Below are 25,676 nucleotides of genomic sequence, written 5' to 3'. Positions count from 1 at the left end.
AAATTTGAAAATAATTTTAGTGAGCATTACGCTTACTGAGATTAATAGTGAGAACTTACCTAGCACTTACTGTATGCCATTCACAATTATAAGCACTTTTGCATGTGCTAATGCTTTTAAGCCTCACGTAACCCAGTGAGGGAGGTACAATTTTAACCTCATTTTACAGGTTAGAAAAATGAGGAGCCCAAGGGTTAAGTGACTTGCCTGTGGTCATATATCAGGTAAGTGAGAGAGCCAGGATTTGAACCCAGACAGTCTGCCTGGGGAATCTGTCAGAACTCCTAACTATGCAGTACCACTCCTCTGATAAAAAGTTGAATTGACATGACAACATTTCCTATTCATTTATGATTCGACCCTTTAAACAAAAAGAACAGCATCATTCTCACATTTATTAATTTGTCAGGAATCACCTGGATCATGAGTTGAGGAAATTTAAAGTAGGAGGGTTGTATGAATTTCAGACCACGATCTCAAGAATTGCCTGTTTAACTCAGAGCCTGAATCATTCACAGACTAAAAACTAGAATCACTCTTCTGTAGGACCAAGAGGGTTGAATCATCAAAGTCTTGCTGAAGTGAACGGAAATCCTCCTTTGTTCAATCATTCATTCAATAATTATTTTTTTCTGGTGTCTACTCTTTACCAAACTCTGTTTGAGATGATAGGGATTCAGTCATAGACAGACCTTCTCTGCCCTCATGGAGGTTATGGTTTCTTGGGATGACAGACAGTAATTTTTTAAATCTCATAAAATAATTACAAATGTGTCAGGAAAGAAAATACAGGACACTACCAGAATATATAGTAAGGACCTAAATGTGTGTGTGTGTGTGTGTGTGTGTGTGTGTGTGTGTGTGTGTGTGTGTGTGTGTGCGCGCGCGCTGCAGTAAGGGTGAGAGGCAGGAAAGGGCAATCAGGACACCCTCCCAATAAAAGTGACCTTTGACCGAGATCTGAAGGATGAAGACAAGCTGAGTGACTCTTCTATTCATCTATATCTTTTGTTTTAAATGGCCTGAAGCCTGGGACTAACTAAACAGGGTTGTAAAATTCCAGTATGTAAATTGAATAACTAGGGATCATTTGAAGTAATGGACTGCAGAGTTAATGTATAATTAAGTCACATCTAGGGAAGATTTCCCATCATTATCACAGAGAGCATCCTGTTTGCTTTCTTCACAGCACTTACGAAAATCTATAGCTATGTGTTTGGTGGCTTGTTTAATGAAAGTCTGTTTCCCCTATCTGAATGTGAGCTCCATAAGGACAGAGGCCCTGAATACCACATCTACTGACATTTGGCAGTGTCTTTCATATAGTAAGCATTCTATAAATGTCTTGAATAGATGAATGCATAAAACTAAGTTAAAATGTTACTGAAAACTATAAAAATAAGCAGAAAGTTATACCAGAGGAGAAAAATTAGGGGAAAAAAACTATAATTTCTGAAGACGTAGTACTTACATCTAAATTTGTGGCTTCATAAGGTTAACCAACACTTAAATAGTTTTGCCAAAACTCCAAGAAAAAAATGACCGGGTGTCGTGGCTCACGCCTGTGATCCCAGCACTTTGGGAGGTCGAGGTGGGTGGATCACCTGAGGTTAGGAGTTCGAGACCAGCCTGGCCAACATGGTGAAACCCTATCTCTACTAAAAATACAAAAAAATTAGCCGGGCATGGTGGCAGACACCTGTAATCCCAGTTACTCGGAAGGCTGAGGCAGGAGAACCACTTGAACATAGGAGGCGGAGGTTGCAGTGAGCCGAGATCATGCCACTGCACTCCAGCCTGGGCAACAGAGCAAGACTCTGTCTCAAAAAAAAAAAAAAGAAAGAAAGAAAAAAAAGAACTACCATTTGACCCAGCACTTCCATTACTTGGTATGTACCCAAAGAAATATAAATTTTTCTACCAAAAAGACGTGCGCTCATATGTTCATTGCAGCACTATTCACAATAGCAAAGACATAAAGTCAACCTAGGTGCCCATCAATGGTGGATTGGATAAAGAAAACGTGGCATATATGCACCATGGAATACTACACAGCTATGAAAAAGAAGGAAATCATGTCCTCTGTAGCAACATGGTTGGAACTGGAGGTCATTATCCTAAGCGAATTAAAGCAGAAACAGAAAACCAAATAATGCATGTGCTCACTTATAAGCAGGAGCTAACCTTTGGGTACACATGGATGTAAAGTTGGGAACAACAGGCACTAGTGACAAGGGCAGGAGGGTGTGGGACAAGGGCTGAAAAAACTACCTATCGAGTACTATACTCACTACCTGGGTGACAGGTTCAACTGTACTCCAAACCTCAGTGTCACACAATATACCCATGTAATAAACCTGCACATGTACCCCTTGAGTCTAAAATAAAAATTGAAATCTAAAAATATAAAATATCAAATCATAAAAATAAATAAGAAAACAATTGAATCTACTGATATGTTTCATTGCTTTTAAAATATCCACTTTGAATTACTGAATATTTTAATATTTTTAGTTTTACACTTCAGCACAGAAAGTCCAGAAATCCAACCCTTGAGTTTACAAAGACACCACATGATAGTTCATAGTTCACACAGCTAGTTAGTTGTGGAACTAGAACCCAAAATTTGCTCTCTATGTCTCTCACATACCTTTTCCCTTTATTCTAATAAAGGCATTTGTCAGTCTAAATGTACAATATTCGAAGACATTTTTTAAAGGAACTACTTATCCAAATCCCACCTGTCTTACAAGGTCCATGTGAAGCAATGAGATAAGGTCTGTGAAACTGCTTCCGAAACTATCAAATGTTATAAAAATGTTAAGTTTTATTATTAGAACTGCAGTTCATCTCTATGAAACCTTTCTAAACTTTCTCACTTTTCTGAACTTGACTACGCAGCGTCTTTTCTAATCTATTTGTTCTCCCTTTATAAGAAGAATTTAATCCTTTCCGCCCTGCTGGGTTGTAAGAAAAAGGACTCTCTTCTTTTCTATAATCTATTGATATTTGATTATATTACACATCTAATGGGTTCCCAATAAATACATAGTGAATAGAATTGAACCAAATTTCTTTCTAGACATGTGAAAAAAAATCCTGATCTTTAAATAGAAAGGGTACTTTCAAAGATTATATATAGAACCTCTTGGTATTTTGTATTTGCAATGAAAATATTTTAATTTGGGCCAGGTGCGGTGGCTCACACCTGTGGTCCCAGCACTCTGGGAGGCCGAGGTGAGCAGATCATGAGGTCAGGCGTTCGAGACCAGCCTGACCAACATGGTAAAACCCCGTCTCAATCAAAAATACAAAAATTAGCCAGGCATGGTGACGCATGCCTGTAATCCCAACTACTCAGGAGGCTGAGGCAGGAGAATCACTTGAACCCGGGAGGTGGAGGTTGCAGTGAGCTGAGATCATGCCACTGCACTCCAGCCTGGGTAGAGAGGGAGACTCCATCTAAAAAAGAAAGAAAGAGAGAGAGAGAAAGAAAAGAAAAGAAAGAAAATATTTTAATTTGTCTTATGTTCAACAGTTGCATCATATCTGCATCCTTTTGTTAAAATTGAACAGGCTTCTAGTTTCATATAATAATTTCTGGCCAGGCGCAGTGGCTCACGCCTGTAATCCCAGCACTTTGGGAGGCCGAGGCGGGTGGATCACCTGAGGTCCGGAGTTCGAGACCAGCCTGACCAACATGGAGAAACCCCATCTCTACTAAAAATACAAAATTAGCTGGGCGTGGTGGCACATGCCTGTAATCTCAGCTACTCGGGAGGCTGAGGCAGGAGAATGGCTTGAACCCAGGAGGCGGAGGTTGCTGTGAGCCAAGATCACGCCATTGCACTCCAGCCGGGGCAACAAGAGCGAAACTCCGTCTCAAAATAATAATAATCATAATCATCATCATCATAATAATAATTTCTACCAACAGCTGGCAGGAAAAAAATATGAGAGCATAGTCATGAACTTCAGATTCCACTCCCCTTACTTTTGGCATTCCATTCCTCTGAATTATAGCTTATATTTCTTTATTATCTCAGTTTGATTTAGTCTTTCTAAATATTCACCTCTGTTTCCATCCATAAATATCGACTGAACTACCTTTTAATATACTATCTTTTTGTAACAGAGAAAATCAAGTGTAGGTGGATTATTGTAAGTGACACTGAGGAAATATAAAAAGACCTTGACTTGTCCAGGCGCGGTGGCTCACGCCTGTAATCCCACCACTTTGGGAGGCCGAGGCGGGTGAATTACGAGATCAGGAGATCAAGACCATCCTGACCAAATGGTGAAATCCTGTCTCTACTGAAATACAAAACATTAGCCGGGCATGGTGGCAGGCGCCTGTAGTCCCAGCTACTTGGGAGGCTGAGGCTGGAGAATGGCATGAACCTGGGAGGCGGAGCTTGCAGTGAGCTGAGATCATGCCACTGCACTCCAGACTGGTGACAGAGTGAGACTCCCTCTCAAAAAAAAAAAAAAAAAAAAAAAAAAAAGACCTTAACTTGCTTCAAACAAGTCAGGACCCCCAATTCCAATTCTTAGGTCTGGCATTCCCATCAGACACTTAAACTGTAGGGGCAGTAAAGTTGCCCATGTGGCTACAGCTTTTGTGGCTGTGCTGTACTTGGGAATTTTAATGTTACCCTCTTTGAATTAGGTCCTTCATTGATCATGCATCTCAAAGTATCTCAGTGCCACATAAAAATTTTCTTTCAGAGTCATATTTTCCCATTATGAATGCTACCTACTGCTTATCTGTTGAGTGTACACTTTTAAACCTTCTGTGGGTGGTGGCCCCTTTGCCACTGGGTGAGTTAGATGCTGATCCTGGTCATTATCGCTGCCTTTCCAGCCTTTTCTGCTCTTACACCAAGCACAAGAATTCTCTGCTGATAGTCAGGATCTAGGGCTGGGAAAATGGGATGAGTTGTCCTGTTAGACAGGCCCAAAAGGAGTATTGTTTAATCCCCAGGGTGTGGGGAAGAAAGATACTCTTGTTTTCTTTTCCCCAAATGTGTCCATATACACCCTTCTCCTTTGCTGGCAGCCACCAGGCTTGTTGAGGATCTACCCTCCTCTGCATATCATGTGCATCAAGGGAAGCCCCAACCCAAGGGAATACATAATGATAGTCCTGAGCTATTTCATGGTGCTCTCGCAGTCTTGATTGCCCTCTTCGGAATTGGACATGGTCATATTACGCAATTTTAGGTAATAAAATACAAAGGGCATTCAGCTAAGGGACCTTCTGAGAAAGGTTTTTCTCGTCTAGAGAACTAAACAGGCATCCTTCTCCGGGCACTATGCGTAGTTCTTTATTCTACCTGGAACATTCTTTCTCCAGAAATCTTTGTGACTAACTCTGTCATTTCCTTCAAGTCTTATTCAAATCTCAACTTAAAAAAAAAAAAAACCTTCTTAAAATTTGACCACACTAATTAGACAGCAACTGCCCCATCTCCCTCTTCCCAGCCATCTGAATCCATTTCCCACTTACCTTTTTATGATAGCTCTTCTAGGAAGGCACTCCCTCCTCCCTGTGAATCATGTCTCCAGGCAATTGTTCCTTGTGTAGAGGAACACACCAAATCTGGGCTGCTCCTGTACAACAAACTGAAGGAGGTAGAATTGATTCTGCAAGAAGTTCAAAGCTAAATAAGAAGGAGTCTTGTAGCTTCTGTCTTGGTCTTCTGGAATGCTCACTCTGGGGAAAGTGATCTGCCCTGTACTAAGTCTACTCTAAGGCCACTGTGCTGTCTACATGAAGAAGCCACAAATCTAAGCTAGCCACATGGGGAAGCTGCATGGAAAGACAAATACGTGGCTAGCCCCCAGCTGTTGGCCGAAGATCCGCAGCCATCCCAAGTGAGGAGCCAGATGTACAAGTGAAAAAACTGTAACAGCCATTCCAATGGAGCCTTCAGATCAATTCAGCTTTGGCTACTATCTGACTGCAAACACATGAAAGAACCCAAGCAAGAAACACCCACCTGAGCACAGTCAACTCACAGAACCATGAGCAATACTGATAAATGGTTATTTTTAGCCAGTAAGTTCTAGGGTGATATATAGCAAAAGGAACATCTGTCCTGTTTTTTCTGGTTTTTCCTATCATACACTCATTCTGCAGGATTAACATGTGTAATATACTTTTTTTTTTTTTTTGAGATGGAGTCTCAATCTGTCGCCCAGGCTGGAGTGCAGTGGCATGATCTCAGCTCACTGCAACCTCCGCCTGCTGGGTTCAAGTAATTCTCCTGCCTCAGCCTCCCGAGTAGCTGGGACTACAGGCATCCACCACCACGCCCAGCTAGTTTTTTTTTATTTTTAGTAGAGACGGGGTTTCACCATGCTGGCCAGGCTGGTCTCGAACTCCTGACCTCGTGATCTGCCCGCCTTGGCCTCCCAAGTGCTGGGATTACAGGCATGAGCCACCACTCCCGGCCTAATATACTTTTTTAAATTGTCTTTCACTATGAGAAGGTGAGCTCCATGAGGCCAGGGATATTGTCTGTTTTGTTAGCTAATGTATCCAAATTACCTAAGAATAGATCTTAGCGTGGTAAATATTTGTTGAATGAACGAGTGAATAGATCAGAATTTCAGTAGCTACGTTGTGAGTATGTGGACAGTTCACCAAGAATGGCAGAATGGAAGGATGGGAGGAACCTGGAATAATGTCATTGTGCTTCTGGATTACCCAGTCCTGGAGCAGCTTTGCCTCTGTGGGCCTTGACTAGTCAAGACATTTTGTGTTGGGTTTTTATGTTAATTCCATTTGCATCACTATAAAGGAATACCTGAGGCTGGGTAATTTATAAGGAAAAGAGATTTCATTGGCTCATGGTTCTGCAGGCTGTACAGGAAGTGTGGTGACAGCCTCTGCTTCTGGTGAGGGCTTCAGCAAGCTTACAATCATGGTGGAAGGTGAAAGGAGAACCAGCGTGTCACATGGTGAGAGATGGAGTGAGGGGGTGGGAGGTGCCACACTCTTTTAAACAGTCAGATCCCACATGAACTCACTCTGAGTGAGAACTCACTTATTACTGCAAGAATGGCACTGAGCCATTCGTGAGGGATCCAGCCCCATGATCCAGTCTCCCCCACCGGGCCCCACATCCAACACTGGGGATTACATTTCAGCATGAGATTTGAAGGGAACAAACATCCAACCCATATCAGTTTTCTACAACCTGCAGCAGAAAGCATCTCATCTGGCACATGGTCTTGCAAATAATTCTGACTTAGATGCATGGGACTCAGATATGACTGAACCAGAAGATAAATCTAAGTAGCAGACACCACAGTATTCTCAAAACCACTCTTTCTCTTTCTCTTGTTGACCGAGGCTTTTCTACTGAGCAAAGCACCTGGTTTATAATATGTTCTTTCATTACGCCTTCTCCTAAGAGACCTCCTTAGTGTCCCTGCAATGGATGTCTGGGGAGCCACCAATCTCTTAGAGATGACTAGACATGTAGCCCCAGAAATGGTTACACCTTGAGCTTTTCTCTCAGTGCAGATGAGATACATTGCCCATCCCACCAATTTGCCACATTTATCTAAATTTCTGTGTTAAGCTGGGACCTCTACCACTCAAGCTGGGATGCCCCTCACCACCACCACACTGCAAAAACTAAACATTTTTCATTAGCCTCCTACTTGCAATTAAGTACATAAAACCTGCAAAACAAGTAATAAAATTAAGGCACTATTTGGTTAATGCCTTTTCTCAGAAATCACTTTTGCATGAAGTTCAGTTCAGTATTTTATCAGTGACTACATTAGTCTCGAGACCCTCTACCCAATAGGAGGGACAAAGATGTACATGACACAGGCTCCCTTCAAAGATGATTAATACATGAACTACATACAGTATTACAAGGGCTCCACTAGAGATGTGAGCCCCCCAGAAATGATATTAATGTGCAGAAGAGTTAGCAATAAATTTTGCACAAGGGGTGACATTTGAGCTTAGACTCGAGCAATGAGTAGGGTTCCAAGAGGTAAAGAAAAAAATGGAATGGTTTTCTAGGAAGAAAACCAGGTCTGGGAAGATCTGATATAACCTGAGGTAGTTTATAAGTCTGGAATGACTGAGTTATCGGGTATATGGTGGGGAAGGCAGCAGAGGTGAAATAAGTAATATCTAAGCAAATGAAAAACATGTAATTAGGGGAGATGAAATATAATTAAATTATTTACCTTAATTCCTCTTTTGACTCTTTACATTTGTCATTCATAAGGAAACAATTTCACTAAGATTGTTTTGACCTTTTTACCTTATTTGGCCAAGTAAACAAGGGACAGAAAGTTTTTAATGTAAAATATTCATTCAACCTGAAAGAACATTGATGATTCCAGACCATTTAAAGTTAAATATTTTAGAGTTCTCAATTATTTCTATTTGGATGAGTAGAACCTTTTTTCAGACTTCAGGAATATATGTTTAGTTTTTAACAGACTAATTGTTCCTGCTTTCATGCCAGCCTCATGGGCATCAGCAGGTTCAAGGTTAGTAGGTAGGAATCTGCCCCCTAAGAATGCAGCCTAAGAGTTAAGGAATGCATGATTACCCCTGTAATTACTTGAGAGGGGCTCTGAAATTCTGGCAGGGTTGGTGAGGCCACCAGATAACACTGATCAAGAATGTACACGAGGTTAGGAATTCAGACTGTAGCTGAAGTGGGGAGTTCGGGTAAACAGGCTCTGAATGGAAAAGATCAGGAATTCAAATAGACAGTTAAGTCAAGAAACCAACATCTTAGAAATGTAAACCTCACTTTAAGTCAAAGGCTCTCCAAGCTAAGACTTCATAATATATTTGCCAAGGCAAGAGCTAGTATCTGCTTACCTGAGTGGTCCTGGAGCTGCGGCCAGTTGAAACAGGAGATTGCAGATGGAATGTCAGTTAGAATACTTTCAGAGGCCAGTAACAGATACCTGACTTTAAAGTTCTTAAGTTTGTCTTTCCCAAGGTTTTCTGGTCATAAGAATCACCAGGGGCACTTGATTAAATTATTAATTCACAAGCCCCTTCACTGGAGATTCTGATGCAATAGACTTGGGAATATATTTTTTTTTAACACGAACTCCAGTGGAATCAGGCAAGAAGTGAAAACCCTATCGTTAATAATAGACACATTAGAAATAATAGAGACATTTGATAATCTAGCACAGTTCCCAAACTTTAGTATGCATCAGAATCCCCTGGGGGCTTGTTAAACTACAGGCTGGCAGGCTGCTCCCAGCGTTTCTGATGCAGTAGGTCCAGCGTGGAGTCCGAGATTCTACATTTCTAGTAGGTTGCCAAGTTATGCTGCTACTCCTGTGGTCAGGAACTGCACTTTGAGAACCACTAATCAAAATAAACTGAAGTCCAAAGACCATCAGACCTAGAGCTGGTTAATTCAACAGATTAGCTATATCAAGACTTGAGGTCAGCTTCTCTGGGATTCTCTTGTCTTTTTCCTCATGGTCCCAAGATGGCTTCCCACTGCGCCAAGCAACATATCCGCAGACAACAATAACCAAGGCAAGAAGGAATAAGGTTCAAGGATAACTGTATTGTGTGCGTGTGTGTGTGTGTGTACTCATGCCTGTGTGTCTGTGTTTGGAAAAGCAAACGTTTCCCAGAAGCTCCCCAACAAATTTCTTCTTATGTGTCAACTAGAACTGGATCTCACTGAACCTCTTTAAGCCAATCACTGGCTATGAGAAACAAGCTTACTGTGATTGGCTTAGACCAGATTTTAATTTTTTCCTCAGAGCTGTGTCCTTTGTTGCCCAATATCTGAACATAATTGAGCTTCTTTACCAAGGAACAAGAAGTAAATAGCTGTTAGTTAGGCAAATAGCTGGGTATGTCCACAAATGGGTTCTGAAACAAGTGTGATTATAATGAGGTTCAGAATTGAAAATATTAGTACAAATGCTAGTAAATAATGTATGATATTGGCTTTCTTATCACCATTTGCAACAGAATAACAGTCTCATGAAGAATTTGGCACAGCCATTGTAGAAAAAGTGCCTTTTCAGAGCTCACAGTATGCATGTACTCATCTTGCTTTTATTATACCTGTATATGGAATTGCAAGCTGTCCCTTCAGGTAATGAAATTTAGACAAGTTGGAACCTGTATAACAGCAAATCAATACTGAAATTATAGGCAAAGCCTGTACTTGTGCAGACTAACACATAGGATAGAAAGACTTTGTGATCAAAATTCAACAAATCCCACATTTATAGGTATCCAACATAGAGAGAAAACTATATATAGTGGTGTGTCTTTTTATGTGTTTGCGTTTTTCTCCTTATTCATTCCTGAAAGTGTATTTTCTTTTAACAGACTCACAACTCAGCTACACCCCATATGCCCACAGTCAACACAGTGGAAAACTGAGTTGTTTATTTGAGCCTCAAGTCATCCAAATACTTCGTTAAACGTTGTAGTAAAAGGTCTCCCCTGAATTCAAGGAGGATGCCCTAAGTTTTCTGCATCCTTTTGATAGAGGAAAGTATTAACTAATGTCAGACTATCTGTTGTTTTATTTTCCTTTACAGCACTAGATTTTGTTAAGGACATTGATAATTTTGAAAGAGAAGCTAAGCTAAGGTGACAAATATATCTTCTGTTGGTCAATATCTAAAATTATGTATTATTTCTTTTTTGACTACACCTTACAGTGGTTAGTTTGCACTTTACGTAAAAAACTGATGTCTACCATCTTCCATCTTTGTAAGCACCATCCAGCCTAATAGTTGTTGGTTTGAATAATGCCACAAGCTTTGTCCAGAAACCAAAAACCTGATTTCCAAAGACTAGTCTATGTAGCTGAGCCCTTCATTCCATAATCATTAAACTATGGTTAGGACACAGTATCCAGTCTCCCCTCAACCTTGTCCAATCACAGTCTATGCAGAGATCATGTAACTCGATTAAAATCTAGAACCATAGAGACATTTCCCTTCCCTGGGGCAAATGGGAATTGCACATGGGGGAAAATGGTGTGGATAAGCAAAAAACGGAAGTTTCCAAAGTGCAACAGAATATTGATAATTTTAGTACATTTCAACATACAGTGAGTGTAATGACGGCATTTTCCTACTGCTTCCTTAGTTGTGAAGATTTTGTTTTTTCTTCTGGGTTCACTGCCGGGAAAAGAGCAGAAAATGTTTTAGAGCCTCTGCCAGCAGAGGGGGCATTTACCATTTGTGCATAAGGTCTCTGGCACTGTGCCCTGGGGTTCTCTTTTCTATATGTTTCTAACAGTCACACACAGCAGTGTGACTGTTTACAGATACTTTACCGTCTTCTCTGATTGAAGCAGGGACTGGTTTGCCAGCAACTTTTGGTTGTTTTTGTTTTTTTGAAGACCATGCAACTAACAGATGTTTGTTGTTGGCTCCATATCTACATTCTTTGAAAGCTGGAGAATCAAATTGCTGACATTCAGACAACACTAATTCCCATATCCAGGGAGCCTAATTTGCCGTCCCTGAGATCCTGATTCCTGGTGTTCACGGGTTTAAAAACCATTTCAGTGACACAATATAAGAATGGGCTTGGGAGATGCAGCGCTGTCTCCACTAAAGATAATCACATTTTATAAACATCTGCGTCATTACTGGTATGATTCATCTCTAAGCTGTATACAGCTGTGTTTCCAGTTTCAATTAACAATCCCTTAATTGCATATCCATCTCATGTTACTAATTTAGTTAATTTATTCATAATTAAGAGTATTCTGTTTTCTACCAAGGTTTGTCGAGCTCAGAACATTATAAAGAAAAATATTTTAAGGCAGCATCTCCGAGGGATTTTGTTTCTTATAATCACATCACAGTAAAATGTCATTCATGCGCCCAAAGGAAGATGAATTGCTAAGGGATTTTTTTTTCCAGTAAAATAAGAAGCTTTGGGAAGCTGCAGTGTGTTGTGTTTTTAAACCAAGTTAAATGCGATGCATTTTGTTCTTTTCTTTCTCCTTCCCTGACATCCTCTCAAAAAAATTATCATTTTATTTGTATTATTGCTTAAGTATCACAGCAAATCCAGTCACCAGTGCAAATAAAACTGTCATTACCCTGTCAGGTAATGGTGTCTCTTAAAATCTAAGCTATAAAGTCTGTACATTTTAGAGGACATTAAGATCAAGAATTTTTAAATTGCCTAAGTCTAAGCAAGTGGAGTACACCCTTGTGGAAAATGGAAGGCAGATGAAAACATGATGCCAGGCAGTGAATTCATTTTAGTTTGATCTTTTCTACAAAAATACATATATCCGTGCAGCAAGAGTCTTGCCTGTGTTAGTACATGTGTCTGTGTGTCATTCAAAGCAGCAATAACAAAAAATTAAGACCATTTCTCACTTTGTTTATTGTTCAAGAACTCCCACCTATAGCCTTGACCTGTGTTTGAGCTTAAAAAAAAAAAAAGTCTTATAACTGCCCAGTGGTTTGGAGATTTTACACAATAGAAATAATAAGCCATCTTTTGCCTCACATGAATTCTACTAAAATCAAAACTCCATAGGATACTTTCCAAAGTAACTGGTGAAAGGAAAAGTGTGGTAGTATAGGTATGCATATTATCCCCATCACTTTATTTCTGAGCTCTTCTATTTTTTAAAAATTTTAATTTGTATCTTAAAAGGGCAAAACATAAGAAGAGGTAGGAGTATTCTAAATTTCAGTGACAACAAATTCATTTATTTTACAATTTAACCATTGCCCGTCAACATTTACTTAAAATTTCAGCATGGGAGGTTTTAAACACTTCTAGAGTCCCATCTTACCCCATTTCCACGATGCTTTTCTTCTCCATGTGTTGCTGCAGTTTAATATTGTCTGCGTGTTTTAATATGTTAAACGAGTTAAACATAGAGTAGGAAGTTAAAACTGTTAGCAGCTATATGTTTCCCAAGATTGATGAAAATTCAGGTAACACTCCAACCTGTTAAAGATACCTGCAATCTGGCCAGGTGCGGTGGCCCATGCCTATAATCCCAGCACTTTGAGAGGCCAAGGCAGGCAGATCACCTGAGGCCAGGAGTTCGAGACCAGCTTGGCCAACATGGTGAAACCCCGTCTCTACTAAAAATACAAAAAACATTTAGCCGGGTGTGGTGGCATGCACCCATAGTCCCAGCTACTCGGGAGGCTGAGGTGGGAGAATTGCTTGAACCCGGAGCCTGGGTGACAGAGTAAGACTCTGTCTCAAAAAGAAAAAGAAAAAAAAAAATATATATATATATATGTGTGTGTGTTTATATATATATATATGTGTGTGTATATATACATATATATATGTGTATATATATATGTGTATATATATATATATATGTGTGTGTGTATATATATATATATATATGTGTGTGTGTGTGTATATATATATATAGAAAGAGAGAGAGAGAGAGAGAGAGAGAGTAAGCAGGGAGGGGTTGAAGCCAGAAAAGACTAGAAATTATCTAGGCCAAACCCTTTAATTTATAGATTAGGAAATAGTTTCTGGTTGACTTAGCTGAGACGTTCTCATTTGTTAAAAGCAAGATCAGAAATCAGACACAATTCAACGCTCTTCACTACACCTTGTTTTTCTCTTTGTGGAAAACAAGACGTATCCTGTTCAAAAATTTATGCTGTTTATCTGAAAGCCCAAAATGCCTGTTTACATCATATTTTCCATTTTGCAATAGCAGCTCATTTTGGGGATTATTTTCTGATGAAATCTCTAGGTTTAGTTGTACTTGAATATCTTTTTATCTGTACACACTGGAATATGCATATAATAATTGATAGAAATGTGGATTTTAAAAGTAGAGATGATCATTATTATTTTATGATCCTTTAAGTTAATAAAATTCACCTAGAATAAAATAAACAAGTTTAACTAAAGTTCTCGCATTTTCCCAGAAATCGTAGACTAGAAACTAGTCTTATTTGCTTATTTTATTCCAAAGCTTATTTTACCTCTATTATTTTGTGGTTCTATAAAATATTTCTGTGTATTCCTCCAAAGAACCTCTTGGAAAAGAAAGTAAACATCACATCTGAAAAATAGCTGGGCATTTTTTCATTATCTCTGCAAGGGGAGGGGACGTGAAAGGCAACCCCATATAGAAACTCAACTCCCTGCTTTTTACAATGAATGAAGTTTTTCCACTGCACTGTCAGAATGGTAATTCTTGCTAACTACTCACCTATTTCACAACATTAACAGAGTTCCAGGATTCATGCTTTAATATTGCATAATGGTCCATGTTTTGAACATGAGGAGTGGCAGCGGAGATTACACTTTGATTCCTTGGATTTCATGTGGCACTGGATGGGAGCAAGGCACTGATTTTAAGTTGAGATAAAAAGGAGAAGTCAGTCAATGCCTGCAGCCAGACAGGACTCTTGTAATAGCTAGGGAGTATGCCTCATTTGGATATGCATGACTGCCGGGCAAGGACACTGCCATGAATCGCTAATGGCAGCAGTTGTATGACATAAGAGAGATGTGTATCAGCAACTCACAAGTTGACTTTGTTACATGTTATGAACACATTCCTGTGGGCACTCATTCATAGAAGTGAGAAATGTGGACACCACAGTGTCCCAGGCCTTTGTTACCTTATGGCCTGGGAATATCTTGCTTTGCTGGAACATGAAGCCACGTCTGGTTATAAGAAGAAGTTTGATCTGGGAGCAAAATTGCCTGTTCACGCATGTCTTTCTCACTTCTTTAAAACTAACTTGCTATAAGGGTGATTAAAAAAAACAGATGTCAGGTGAGAGTTTTGCTTTGCATCAACTTCCTACTTGTAGAGGTAATAACATAAACCTTGCCTGGCAATCATTATTTGTCATCCAGCTGAGGGTGTTTACTCTTGAGAAAGAAGTAATGGACAAAATTGACTTGGATTCTGGTTCTATGTTTCCCATTAATTGACTCTGGACATATACATGCAATTTAATCCATCTTACTAAAAACATGACCAACTCACAGGATGTAAATTCTATTCTATAGAAAGGGCTTTCCCTCAGTAGTTAGTCAAGGGACGGTTCCTAACTCCTGTCTTTATTGAGCTTATTTTCCAAAATAAATGTATTATTTTCTACTTTGTTCACAGAGCAAGGCAGCATAAAGAAATTAAGCAACAAAACAATAGTGTATTTTTACCCAACTTTCTAGAAAACACCCATTTTTCTTAAGTTTTGATATTTTTTTGCCAACAGGCAGTCAAAAAGAAGATAAATAAAACTGGGTTAAGTTGGTAATGACACAATAAATAAATGAGATGAAGAAAGAGGCAATAAATATGAGTGGATACCAACAAGAAACATGTTCAAGCCCTGAAAAAATAATGAGAAAAGGTAGAACTATTAATAATACATCCCGCTCTCGTATCACACCTTGCTCCCCAGATACATCCTATCTGTCCTGGCACCATGTTGATGCTGTTGTTCTGTAAGCTATGCCAATGAACATGTTGGATGACCTACTCCAGCTCTACCTCAAGATTTCCAAATAAGAAAAGGACCCAGGGATCTCCTTGCTGAGGTCTTTATCCATTTACTCAGGTCACAAGTACTAATTAAGCAGCTCTTATGTGCAAAATGTTATTGCTTCAGGTCAGTTTTTCCTATACTGCTGTTCTATAAGAGAGGAAGAAGGTCCCTGCCCTCAGAAAGCCCTAGAATACAGATCTAGAGATGGGTTCAACATCTTTGTTATGCAATTATTTCATTCCAATTGTAATGAGTACTTAGAAAGGACAAAAGCAGAGTGCTGAGAGAGTATAACAGAGGGACTTGACCTGGTGTAGTAGGCCTGGAAAGTTTCCTGGGGAAGTGGTATTTTAGACAAACAACACACACATACACCCATGAATGTATACGTGTGGAGAATGTATTCTAAGTAACTATGATGAATGTATTTCTTACTGTAGGTCATGGTCAAAGTTTGAAAACTATTGTTCTAACTAGTATTATAATTCCAGGGATAGTAGAGGTCATGTGACCTGTTTAGCACATGCCTGCCTTAACAGTATCTAGTAGGCCAGGCAATGTGGCTCACACCTGTAATCCCAGCACTTTGGGAGGCCAAGGCAGGTGGATCACTTGAGGCCAGGAGTCTGAGACCAGCCTGGCCACCACGGTGAAACCGTGTCTCTGCTAAAAATACAAAAATTAGCCAGGTGTGGTGGTGGTGCCTGTAGTCCCATCTACTGGGGAGGCTGAGGCAGGAGAATTGCTTGAACCCGGGAGGCGGAAGTTGCCGTGAGCTGAGATCATGCCACTGCACTCCGGCCTGGGCCACAGAGTGAGACTCTCTGGAAAAAAACAAAAAACAAAAAAAAAGAATGTCTAGTAAATAAGTCAGTGCCAAGCAACTACCTGATAACTGTTACCACCTTAGTCATCACCGAAGGCAGAAGGTCTTGCATTCATTGGAGGAGAGTTACCAATCTAAGACATTTGCATGAAAATGTGCACAGAGCCCTCACCTGATAATCAAAGCATGTTCCAACACTTCTCTTTGGATAAAATAAGAGTTACATCTCAATGAAATCACTTGTGGATCAAGTTCTCATCCTTTCGTAAATAAAGAGAGGGGCAGCAAGAAATGGAAGTGAGCACATATAAGTGTGGGAACCTGTACTTTCCTAACCTATAAAGCATTGGATGTAGTTTTTGCTATTGGTGCGCATGGAGTCATGTGGCCTTGGAGCAGTTAGGTACCTTCCCTGATGATAGGGGAGAAGGCAAAGAAATTGATGATACATCTCTCTCATTGTCATTCCCTAGTATATTACACTTAAATCTAACTGCCCTATTTTGTGATTGCCTTACTGCTGTGGCTTGAATATTTGTGTCTCCCCAAAATTCATATGTGGAAACCTAATTCCATATATGATGGTATTAGGAGGTAGGCCCCTTGGGAGGTGATTAGATCATGAGGGCAGAGCCCACATGAATGAGATTAGAACCCTTATAAAAGAGACCCAGAGAGCTGCTTTGCCCTTTTTGCCATGAGAACACAAGAAGGTGCTATCTATGAACAAGAAAGCAGGCCTTCACCAAACACTGAATCTGCCAGCGCCTTGATATCAGACTTCCTAGCCTTCAGAATTGTGAGAAAAAAACTTTGGTTGTCTATAAGCCACCCAGTTTATGATATTTTGTTATAGCATTCCAACGGACTAAAACATTCATTTTCCAGAAAATCTACTCCATTTATAAGCCAGCATTCTTTTTTTTTTTTTTTTAATTTTCTACAGATCTCTGCAGAAACATGCAGAGTAATAATAGGGCCAGGCACGGTGGCTCACGCCTGTAATCCCAGCACTTTGGGAGGCCACAGTGGGTGGATCACCTGAGGTCAGGAGTTCGAGACCAGCCTGGCCAACATGGTGGAACCCCGTCTCTACTAAAAATACAAAAAATTAGCCGGGCATGGTGGTGGGTACCTATAATCCTAGCTACTCAGGAGGCTGAGGCAGGAGAATCACTTGAACTCAGGAGGCAGAGGTTGCAGTGAGCCAAGATCCCACCATTGCACTCTAGCCTGGACAAGAATAGTGAAACTGTCTCCAAAAAAAAAAAAAAGAAGTGATAATATATTTGCTGTATATATTAGTTATAGATAGTTATATTGCAGTACTATCAGAAGCTATGCCACATATTATTTACGTATTTCTTAAGATATAGAAAACATCCCTCCCCTGCAGTCATTAGTACTTTTGCATTCAAACTTCAAATGAAACAGGACTTTAGAAATTATAGGCTTGGTGCCATCCTGGCCAACATGGTGAAACTCGTCTCTACTAAAAATACAAAAATTAGCTGGGCGTGGTGGTGCACACCCGTAGTCCCAGCTACTCGGGAGGCTGAGGCAGGAGAATCACTTGAACCTGGGAGGAGGAGGTTGCAGTGAGCCGAGATCGCGCCACTGCACTCCAGCCTGGCGACAGAGCGAGACTCCGTCTCAAAAAAAAAAGAAAAAAAAGAAAAAAAGAAAAGAAAAAAGAAATTATAGGCTTGGTGATTTCTCAGGCATTAACTCAAGAAAGCAGCCTTTATACCGATTACCTACATTCACCCAGCACTTACCCCATTAATTTCTAATGTTGCTTGGAACAAATGAACATTCCTGGAATGCAAGCTAAATGAAAGAGCCCCGAAGAAGAACAGGGCATTTCCTGGTTCCTCATATTGACAAATTTAAAAGCCTGTGCTATAATATGGGCTCCTGTTTCCTTTCAAGTTTGTCTTTGAATAAGTGGACAGAGTAGCTGAAAGCAGAGTATTTAAAGCTTTGAAACGACCACTTTATTTCAGTCTCTGTTCTTGCTGGGACCACTCTTATAAATGAGGAGATTAGAAAATCACCTAGAACTATTTAATCGTTGTGCAGAAGACCCTCTTACCCCAAATATTTACTTACCGCTCATTTTATTGGCACACTGCCTCAAATTCCACCTGCTGTGAACTGACCTAAGTGAATTTAGGTCACGTGCAACTATTAGGTTCTTTTTGGGAAATAATGGAGAACCACAGATGTGTTTGAGGTGGATGAGGAATGGCTACCTCAAGCCGCAGCTTCATGCTTCATGCTGAAGTCCTCCACAAGTGCAATCATGTCGTTAACCAACATTTGTTAGAAGGCAGGCAGAAGTCAGCTTACAGCCTGTTCTACAATTTTTATGAAGTGTAGGATTTTAGGCTTAAATTGACACCATTGCAAATACAGTATTCTCTTACCTTTAGATTTGGCATCAGGTCACAAGAATTCTTCCTAAGCCAATGGTTGGATACAAGGCCATTGGAGACCAGACGTAAAATTAAAAGCCCAAGCAACAGGTTTTGCTGGATTCTTATATCCTGTTTATGCAATGTTAGGGGATGTCATTAAAATATTTTAGTTAATCCATGTATCTTGATTGTCTTAAATTTTACTAATGAGATCCTATAGGGATATTCATTGCAATCCACTATTTCCCTCAGCAAAAACACATTTGCGATATCTATTACATGCATTACAAAATCCTCCAAGGTTCACAGAGATATATAGTAGTAGCAGTCTCTGGGTTTTGGCCTTTTTCATAAGATGAAGGCTGTGCTGTCCTAGAATATGAATTCCTAATTAAAATAACCATTTGCCTCAAGCCTCTAGAGTTGAAGGTTGCACTAACTGCACATATAAAATATCCAACTATCTATGTTGAGATATTTAAAATTAATTACAGATATTGTAACACCATTATTTAACTTAAATTCCATTACAGGTCCTTTGAGTATGCAAAATATTTCTTTGAGATGTGGTAACCCCTTTAACTGATCAGGAAATAAACCTTTATTATCAAGTTGTTATCCCACCTTGACAGGCCTAAAGCGCAGACCACATATCAGAATCCCCTGGGCAGCTTATAAAGCTCCTCATGCCCAGGCTGCATCTCAGACCAATTCAATCTCTGGGGGTGGGCTCCAAGCATCAGCATTTGTTGAAAATCCCCAGGATTACAAAGTGCGGTGAAGTTTGCAAACCCTTGTAATAAGAGAATGGGAGGAGGGATGGCTGTTTGCCAAGCAGAACCAGGAATGAGGAAGGATATTGGTAAACAAAATTTATCCATAATTGACTTTTCATGAATCACAGTCCTACTGAGACCCAGCCTTGTCTCATGAGACTTTGGCTACGATGATGAGTGAGAAAAGGACTCCTCCTAATTTACCAGACTCTTGATTAGAAGCAAATGAAATTTTGGAAAAGAGACAAGTCACTTTCAAAAGACCCCAGCCTGTACCTGACCCTACCTCTGGACTCCATAGTAATGGCAGGTAGTGGTCATTCCTGGAGTAACTCTGTATTTCTTAAAGGAACATTTGCATAATGAACCTACAGCAATCTGGAAGACGACTGGGGTAAATAGAGAATTTGTTGATTTTAGATGGCTGAATACTATCCGTGCAGAGCAATTAAAAGGACAACTGTCAGAATCAAGTAAGAGAAAGGAAATAAGAGAAGTCTCATGTTAGTAGACCTTGTTTGATCAATGTGTTTTCATCTTGTATATGATTAATAAAATAAGTTTGGGAGTTAGGATCAACCTTTGTTTACTCACTGGAGAATAACTTGCATATAGAATGAAGCTGGGATTGTCCAGGCTGGTTTTTTTCCATTTGGAAGTTTGGATACAATACAAGGAAGCCTGAATTCCAAACTGTTTCTCTTAAAGAGTGCCTTTCTGAGCCGCTATTAAGGAATGCTTATTGTTTCGAAAATGGTAGCACAGAAGTGTTATAACTAGAGTACACCTTGTGCCTGCAATTAATTACCCAGTGTCTTCAAAAATTCTTGTCTTTTGCTGGTAGAAAACCTTTGAAACTATAGTTGTCTGTGGTATTCACTGCAGCACCTTAGATATAAAGAGAGAAATTTATTTTCAGAGGAATCTTGAGACAGTTTGTGTGTGTGTGTGCATGCCTGCTTACACATCTATTGGTTTTCCCCAAGGATTGTAGAAATCCCATTAAAATTCCAGCTTCTTAAGGAGCTACTGAAACTCCAGTTTTTCATATTTTCTTTTATAATATTTGGATGCGTTTAGGTAAACTTGCAGCATTTTAATTATGTCTGTATCAGATGAGCGGAAGAAATGTAAAAGGGTTTGGGGAGAGATTTAATTTTAGATAGCGGCGTAATTAATAGCATTTGGAAAAACTAGTGGAACTTTAATTAAATGTCTCTACATTAATTTAGTCATTTAATTGAACATGTAGTGGGATAGTCCTTACAATTTTTCACCCTTACTCTTTGAGGAAAAATGATTTTTGAATAACAAAGCATCAGTATGACTACTTTTTATTATTTAGCTGTATGTTCACTACTTGGCACTTTGTTTAATTTTTCCCCCCATATGTTTCGAGCTTTTTAAAACATTAATTTGGCTTGTCGCTTTTATCTTAAAAACTATAAATCTGGGGGCCGGGTGCAGTGGCTCATGCCTGTAATCCCAGCACTTTGGGAGGCCGAGGTGGGTAGATCATTTGATGTCAGGAGTTCAAGACCAGCCTGACCAACATGACGAAACCCTGTCTCTACTGAATACAAAAAAAACTAGCCGGGTGTGGTGGTGCATGCCTGTAATCCCAGCTACTTGGGAGGCTGAGGCAGGAGAATTGCTGGAACCCAGGGGGCTAAGGTTGCAGTGAGCAGATATTGCACCACTGCACTCCAGCCTGGGCAACAGAGTGAAACTCCATCTCAAAAAATAATAATAAAATAAAGAAATAAAGAAAACTATAAATCTGGGAGAAACCGTATTTGGAAACATTGAGCAACTGTTTCTTTTCCTTTATTTTAGACTTTAATATTCACTAGAGTCATGTTGTAAAGTTTTCACCTTAATATTGTAGGCTTTTTTTTTTTTTTTACTTTGCCAACTTAACTGGCTTTTTTAAAGTGGTGTTATGCTGCAGCAGTGTATCTGAATTTCAGCAGTGCCTTTTACGTGGCTGCTCACAATCTTATTAAACTACATGAATTATACATGGAGAGAAATATAATTTGGTAAATTTGGTGATGTTTCAATAACCATGCCCAAGGAGGAATGTTGTGTTAAACTGTCAATTTGAGAAGTGTTTTGTGGTGCTAACCACAGAGTGAATTCAGTTCTACTTCATTTCACAACCCTCCATAAATAGTGCCCCCTAAAAGTGGTGCCTCCTTGCCTGTACTTTGACCCAGATTTTTGTCATTTTTCTAGATAAGCATATACATTGTGCACTTATTAATTTTTCAAATGACACAAAGGTGAGAATGGGAGTCAACACACTGAAAGATCAAAATCAAGACTCAAAATAAGATTATAACAGACTGGGATACTGTACCAAAATAAAAAAATTAAAATAAAATTTAACAAGAACAAGCAAGATGTCCTGCCTTTAAGATTTTTAAAGTCTTTTGTACAAATATAGGCTGAGGAACATCTGACTTTGTGGCGCTTTATATGAAAAACAAATTGGGATTTTAAATAACCACAAGGACTGTATTAATCTCCAGTATGATCTGGTGTGGCTTACTGTACGAGGCAATACAGTATTAGATTGCATTAATGAAATTCACAAATGTTCCATTAATCTCTTCACTAGTTAAACCACATCTGCAGTCATATTGACTTATGAGCATCACGTATGATGAGAACACTGAAAAATCATAATACATTGACAGCAGGGCAACCAAGATTGTGAAAGGTATAGCGATGGTTATATGACAAATATTTGAAAGAATCTAGAATGTTCAGTAAGAAGATAACATGAAAATACAGGACAGCTTCTTCATGCATCTGGGGAGGGTGGGTAAAGGACACAGCACACTTAATTAAGTAAGATTGTAGAAGAGAACTATGGGCAAGTGTTACAGTGGAGCTTACTCTGAGTAAGGAAAATGTAAACGTTAGAGTTGTTATTAAGTGGCATGGGCTGCTTCACAAATTTCCATCATTTTTTAATCTGATTCATCTGCTAATAGGACAAACTGTAACAATAGCTTAAACAATAGAGAAATGTAGGTCTCTCTCATGTACAAGCCCAGAACTAGGTAGATCAGGCCTCCTTCCGCTATTCTGCTTCACTAAGTCCGAAGTCCTCCTTTACCTTGTCCTGCCATGGTGGCCTCAATTCTCGTTGTCACCACATGGTCCAATATGTCTGCTTCAGCTCCAGCCAACACATCTGAGTTCCAGCCCCCAGCAACATGGAAGAAGGAAGGAGGCACAGAGAGGGCGTGTGCCAGCAGTGTTGTGAGAAAATCTTTCAGAAACTGTCATGAAATGTATCCCCTGATAGTTCCTTCACCAGAACTTTGTCCCATGATTATATTTACATCTATGTGAGGCTAAGAAATATATTCTTTCCTTCAGGCATCTACATACCCAACTGAAAATTATGAGTTCTATTGCCACAAGAAAAAATGGAAAATATATGGGGACAATCAACAGTACTTGCACAAAGATGTTTTACAGAGAATTACTCTTTTACCTGGGAATTTTACAAGATAAACTTTAAGATCCTATCAACTCTCTCTCTCTCTTTTTTTTTTTTTTTTTTTTTGAGACAAGAGTCTCGCTCTGTCACCCAGGCTGGAATGTAGTGGTGCGATCTCGGCTCACTGTAACCTCCACCTCCCGGGTTCAAGTGATTCTTCTGCCTCAGCCTCCCGAGTAGCTGGGACTGCAGGCGCCCGCCACCATGCCTGGCTAATTTTTGTATTTTTAGTAGAGACGGGGTTTCACCGTGTTGGCCAGGCTGGTCTCGAACTCCTGACCTCAGGTGACTCGCCCGCCTCGACCTCCCTAAGTGCTGGGATTGGGATTACAGGCATGAGCCACCACGCCCAGCCAGATCATCTCTGGAGGCAGGGGGATCACTTGAGGTCAGGAGTTTGAGGCCAGTCCGGCCAACATGACGAAACCCTGTCTCTACTAAAAGTACAAAAATTAGCTGGGTGTGGTGGCAGGCAACTGTAGTCCCAGCTACTCGGGAGGCTGAGGCAGGAGAATAGCTTGAACCCAGGAGGCCAAGGTTACAGTGAGCCGAGATCGTGCCACTGCACTCCAGCCTGGGTGACAGTGAGACTCTAACTCAAAAAACAAACAAAAAGAGTCTATGATCCTATAATTTATAGACAACATACAACCTCCTTTCTCTACAAAGAGAATTGGTTCTCAAGGGCTGTTTGGAAATTCATTTCCTTTTAAGTCCAAAATGACATACAAAAGTGACCAATATATACAATGTACACCCTTCTACAATAAGTTCTCTTTTGTTGCCGTAGTAATCGCATGTCTTTTCTTAAAGGAACACTTTTTTGACTCTTTTGTACTTTTGAACATAGCGGTGTTAATAATAATATTTATAAAACATTATGAAAATATGCACACAAAACACAACACAGGCTAAGAAAACCTAATGGTGGCCTAAAGTAAGTTCTGATGTCCTCTGTTGGTGGTATTCTTCATTGCCATGCTTCTGCTGTGCCTGGGACCTTTATTGCTACCTATGGGAAGTTGTAAGTAGAGAAGTTTCTTTACTACAGGGATGTGAACAATCATTGTAAGTAAGGAATAATGAATTCACATAAGTTCACAGAGCATGTTTTTCTGCCCTGGTAATACTGCATTTCTCACTTTGCATTTAAAGTACCTACGCCCTTACACAGAAAAAGTTATCGGGGTTGGGTGCAGTGGCTCACGCCTGTAATCCCAACACTTTGGGAGGCCGAAGCAGGGGGATCACTTGAGGTCAGGAGTTCGAGACCAGCCTGGGCAACATGGTGACACCCTGTCTCTACTGAAAAAAAAAAAAAAAAAAAAAAACACACACACAGAAAAATTAGCCAGGTATGGCGGTACATGCCTGTAGTCCCAGCTACTTGGGAGGCTGATGTGGAAGAATCGCTTGAACCTGAGAGGTGGAGGTTGCAGTGAGCCGAGATCGCACCACTTCACTCCAGCCTGAGTGACAGAGTGAGATTCCATCTCATAAATATATAAATATATATATATAATTATCGATTGATTAATATTATTATATGGTCCCCATTACTCTAAACTCTCAAAATGTAATGTAGGTCAAAATCAGAAAAAGGCCATACTGTCTACTCCTTCCTCTGTTTCATTCCAACTATAAGAGAAAGGGAGAGGGCAAAACAAAGATGACAGGAGGCCAAATTGTACATAGAATTCATGGAAATTCTTACCCAACATGTAAAATTATGATAGTATAAGGAAAAGTATACTGCAAAAATTAAACTTCTACATTGTGAAATGGAGAACATTTTTACATCTAGCTCTATTGCTTCTCCCTGTGGAGCTGTTCTAAGCACAAAGTTCCCATTACATAATGAACAACTCCTTAAATACTGTGCAACTATTTCTCACTAGAAGCACGATGCAGCAAACTCTGTTTCTCAGTAACCATTTATATCATACCTAGTGGTACCGAGTTCTATAATAAAAGGGTGATATGTGCATATTTTGTGGTCATAGAGTGCAAAGTTGACATCTACAGTTTAAAGCATTGCATTGCATGAATAAGGTCAAAATTTAAATACTTTTCTATGATCATGTTCTTTACATTAAAGGTTAAAGATGCATGCCGCTTTAAAAATGGTTTAAGGGCCGGACACGGTGACTCACGTCTATAATCCTGGCACTTTGGGAGGCTGAGGTGGGCAGATCACCCGAGGTCAGACGTTCAAGACCAGCCTGGCCAACATGGCAAAACCCTGTCTCTACTAAAAAATACAAAAATTAGTCAGGCATGGTGGCGGGCGCCTGTAATCCCAGCTACTCGGGAGGCTGAGGCAGGACAATCTCTGGAACCCGGAAGGCAGAGGTTGCAGTGAGCAGAGATCGTGTCACTGCCCTCCAGCCTGGGCGATAGAGCAAGACTCTATCTATCTCAAAAAAATAAATGAATAAAATAAAATAAAAATGGTTTAAGAACTTCAAACCATCTGGCACCAGAAAACACCTAAATTGAATTAAAAATCTGGAAATTTAATTTCACAACTTGTCCTTTTTCAAGCCTACCCTAAGTTTTGTTTACTTAATGGGGAGAATCTGTTTTATTTGTTCCTATGTAGAAGACTGCTGATTTTATCATGATTGTAT

At 39.8% G+C, this 25,676-nt stretch overlaps 1 protein-coding gene and 1 long non-coding RNA gene across 22 annotated transcripts in view, besides 2 other annotated features; one reads left to right on the top strand and one right to left on the bottom strand.

Moving 5' to 3' along the window:
• The window catches only part of DMD (dystrophin), a 2,220,167-nt gene that overhangs the window by 1,904,090 nt on the left and 290,401 nt on the right, over positions 1-25,676 (top strand).
• On the bottom strand, positions 2,487-8,960 carry LOC124905175 (uncharacterized). Its single transcript, XR_007068211.1, has 3 exons — positions 8,867-8,960; positions 5,510-5,625; positions 2,487-4,921 (listed from the first exon to the last, which is right to left on the bottom strand). It is a non-coding gene; the product is annotated as an uncharacterized LOC124905175 (long non-coding RNA).
• Positions 15,497-16,100: an enhancer, noted in NCBI's record as "NANOG-H3K4me1 hESC enhancer chrX:31437316-31437919 (GRCh37/hg19 assembly coordinates)". NCBI's record gives its function as "activates a minimal SCP1, AML or CMV promoter by ChIP-STARR-seq in naive H9 embryonic stem cells {active_cell/tissue: H9 hESC(naive)}" and the evidence as "EXISTENCE:reporter gene assay evidence [ECO:0000049][PMID:30033119]".
• Positions 16,101-16,705: an enhancer, noted in NCBI's record as "H3K4me1 hESC enhancer chrX:31436711-31437315 (GRCh37/hg19 assembly coordinates)". NCBI's record gives its function as "activates a minimal SCP1, AML or CMV promoter by ChIP-STARR-seq in primed H9 embryonic stem cells {active_cell/tissue: H9 hESC(primed)}" and the evidence as "EXISTENCE:reporter gene assay evidence [ECO:0000049][PMID:30033119]".

Source organism: Homo sapiens, chromosome X (genome assembly GCF_000001405.40).
Source record: "Homo sapiens chromosome X, GRCh38.p14 Primary Assembly".
Taxonomy (NCBI): domain Eukaryota; kingdom Metazoa; phylum Chordata; class Mammalia; order Primates; family Hominidae; genus Homo; species Homo sapiens.
Note: the sequence above shows the minus strand (reverse complement) of the source record. Positions and strands in the feature narration are given on the sequence as shown.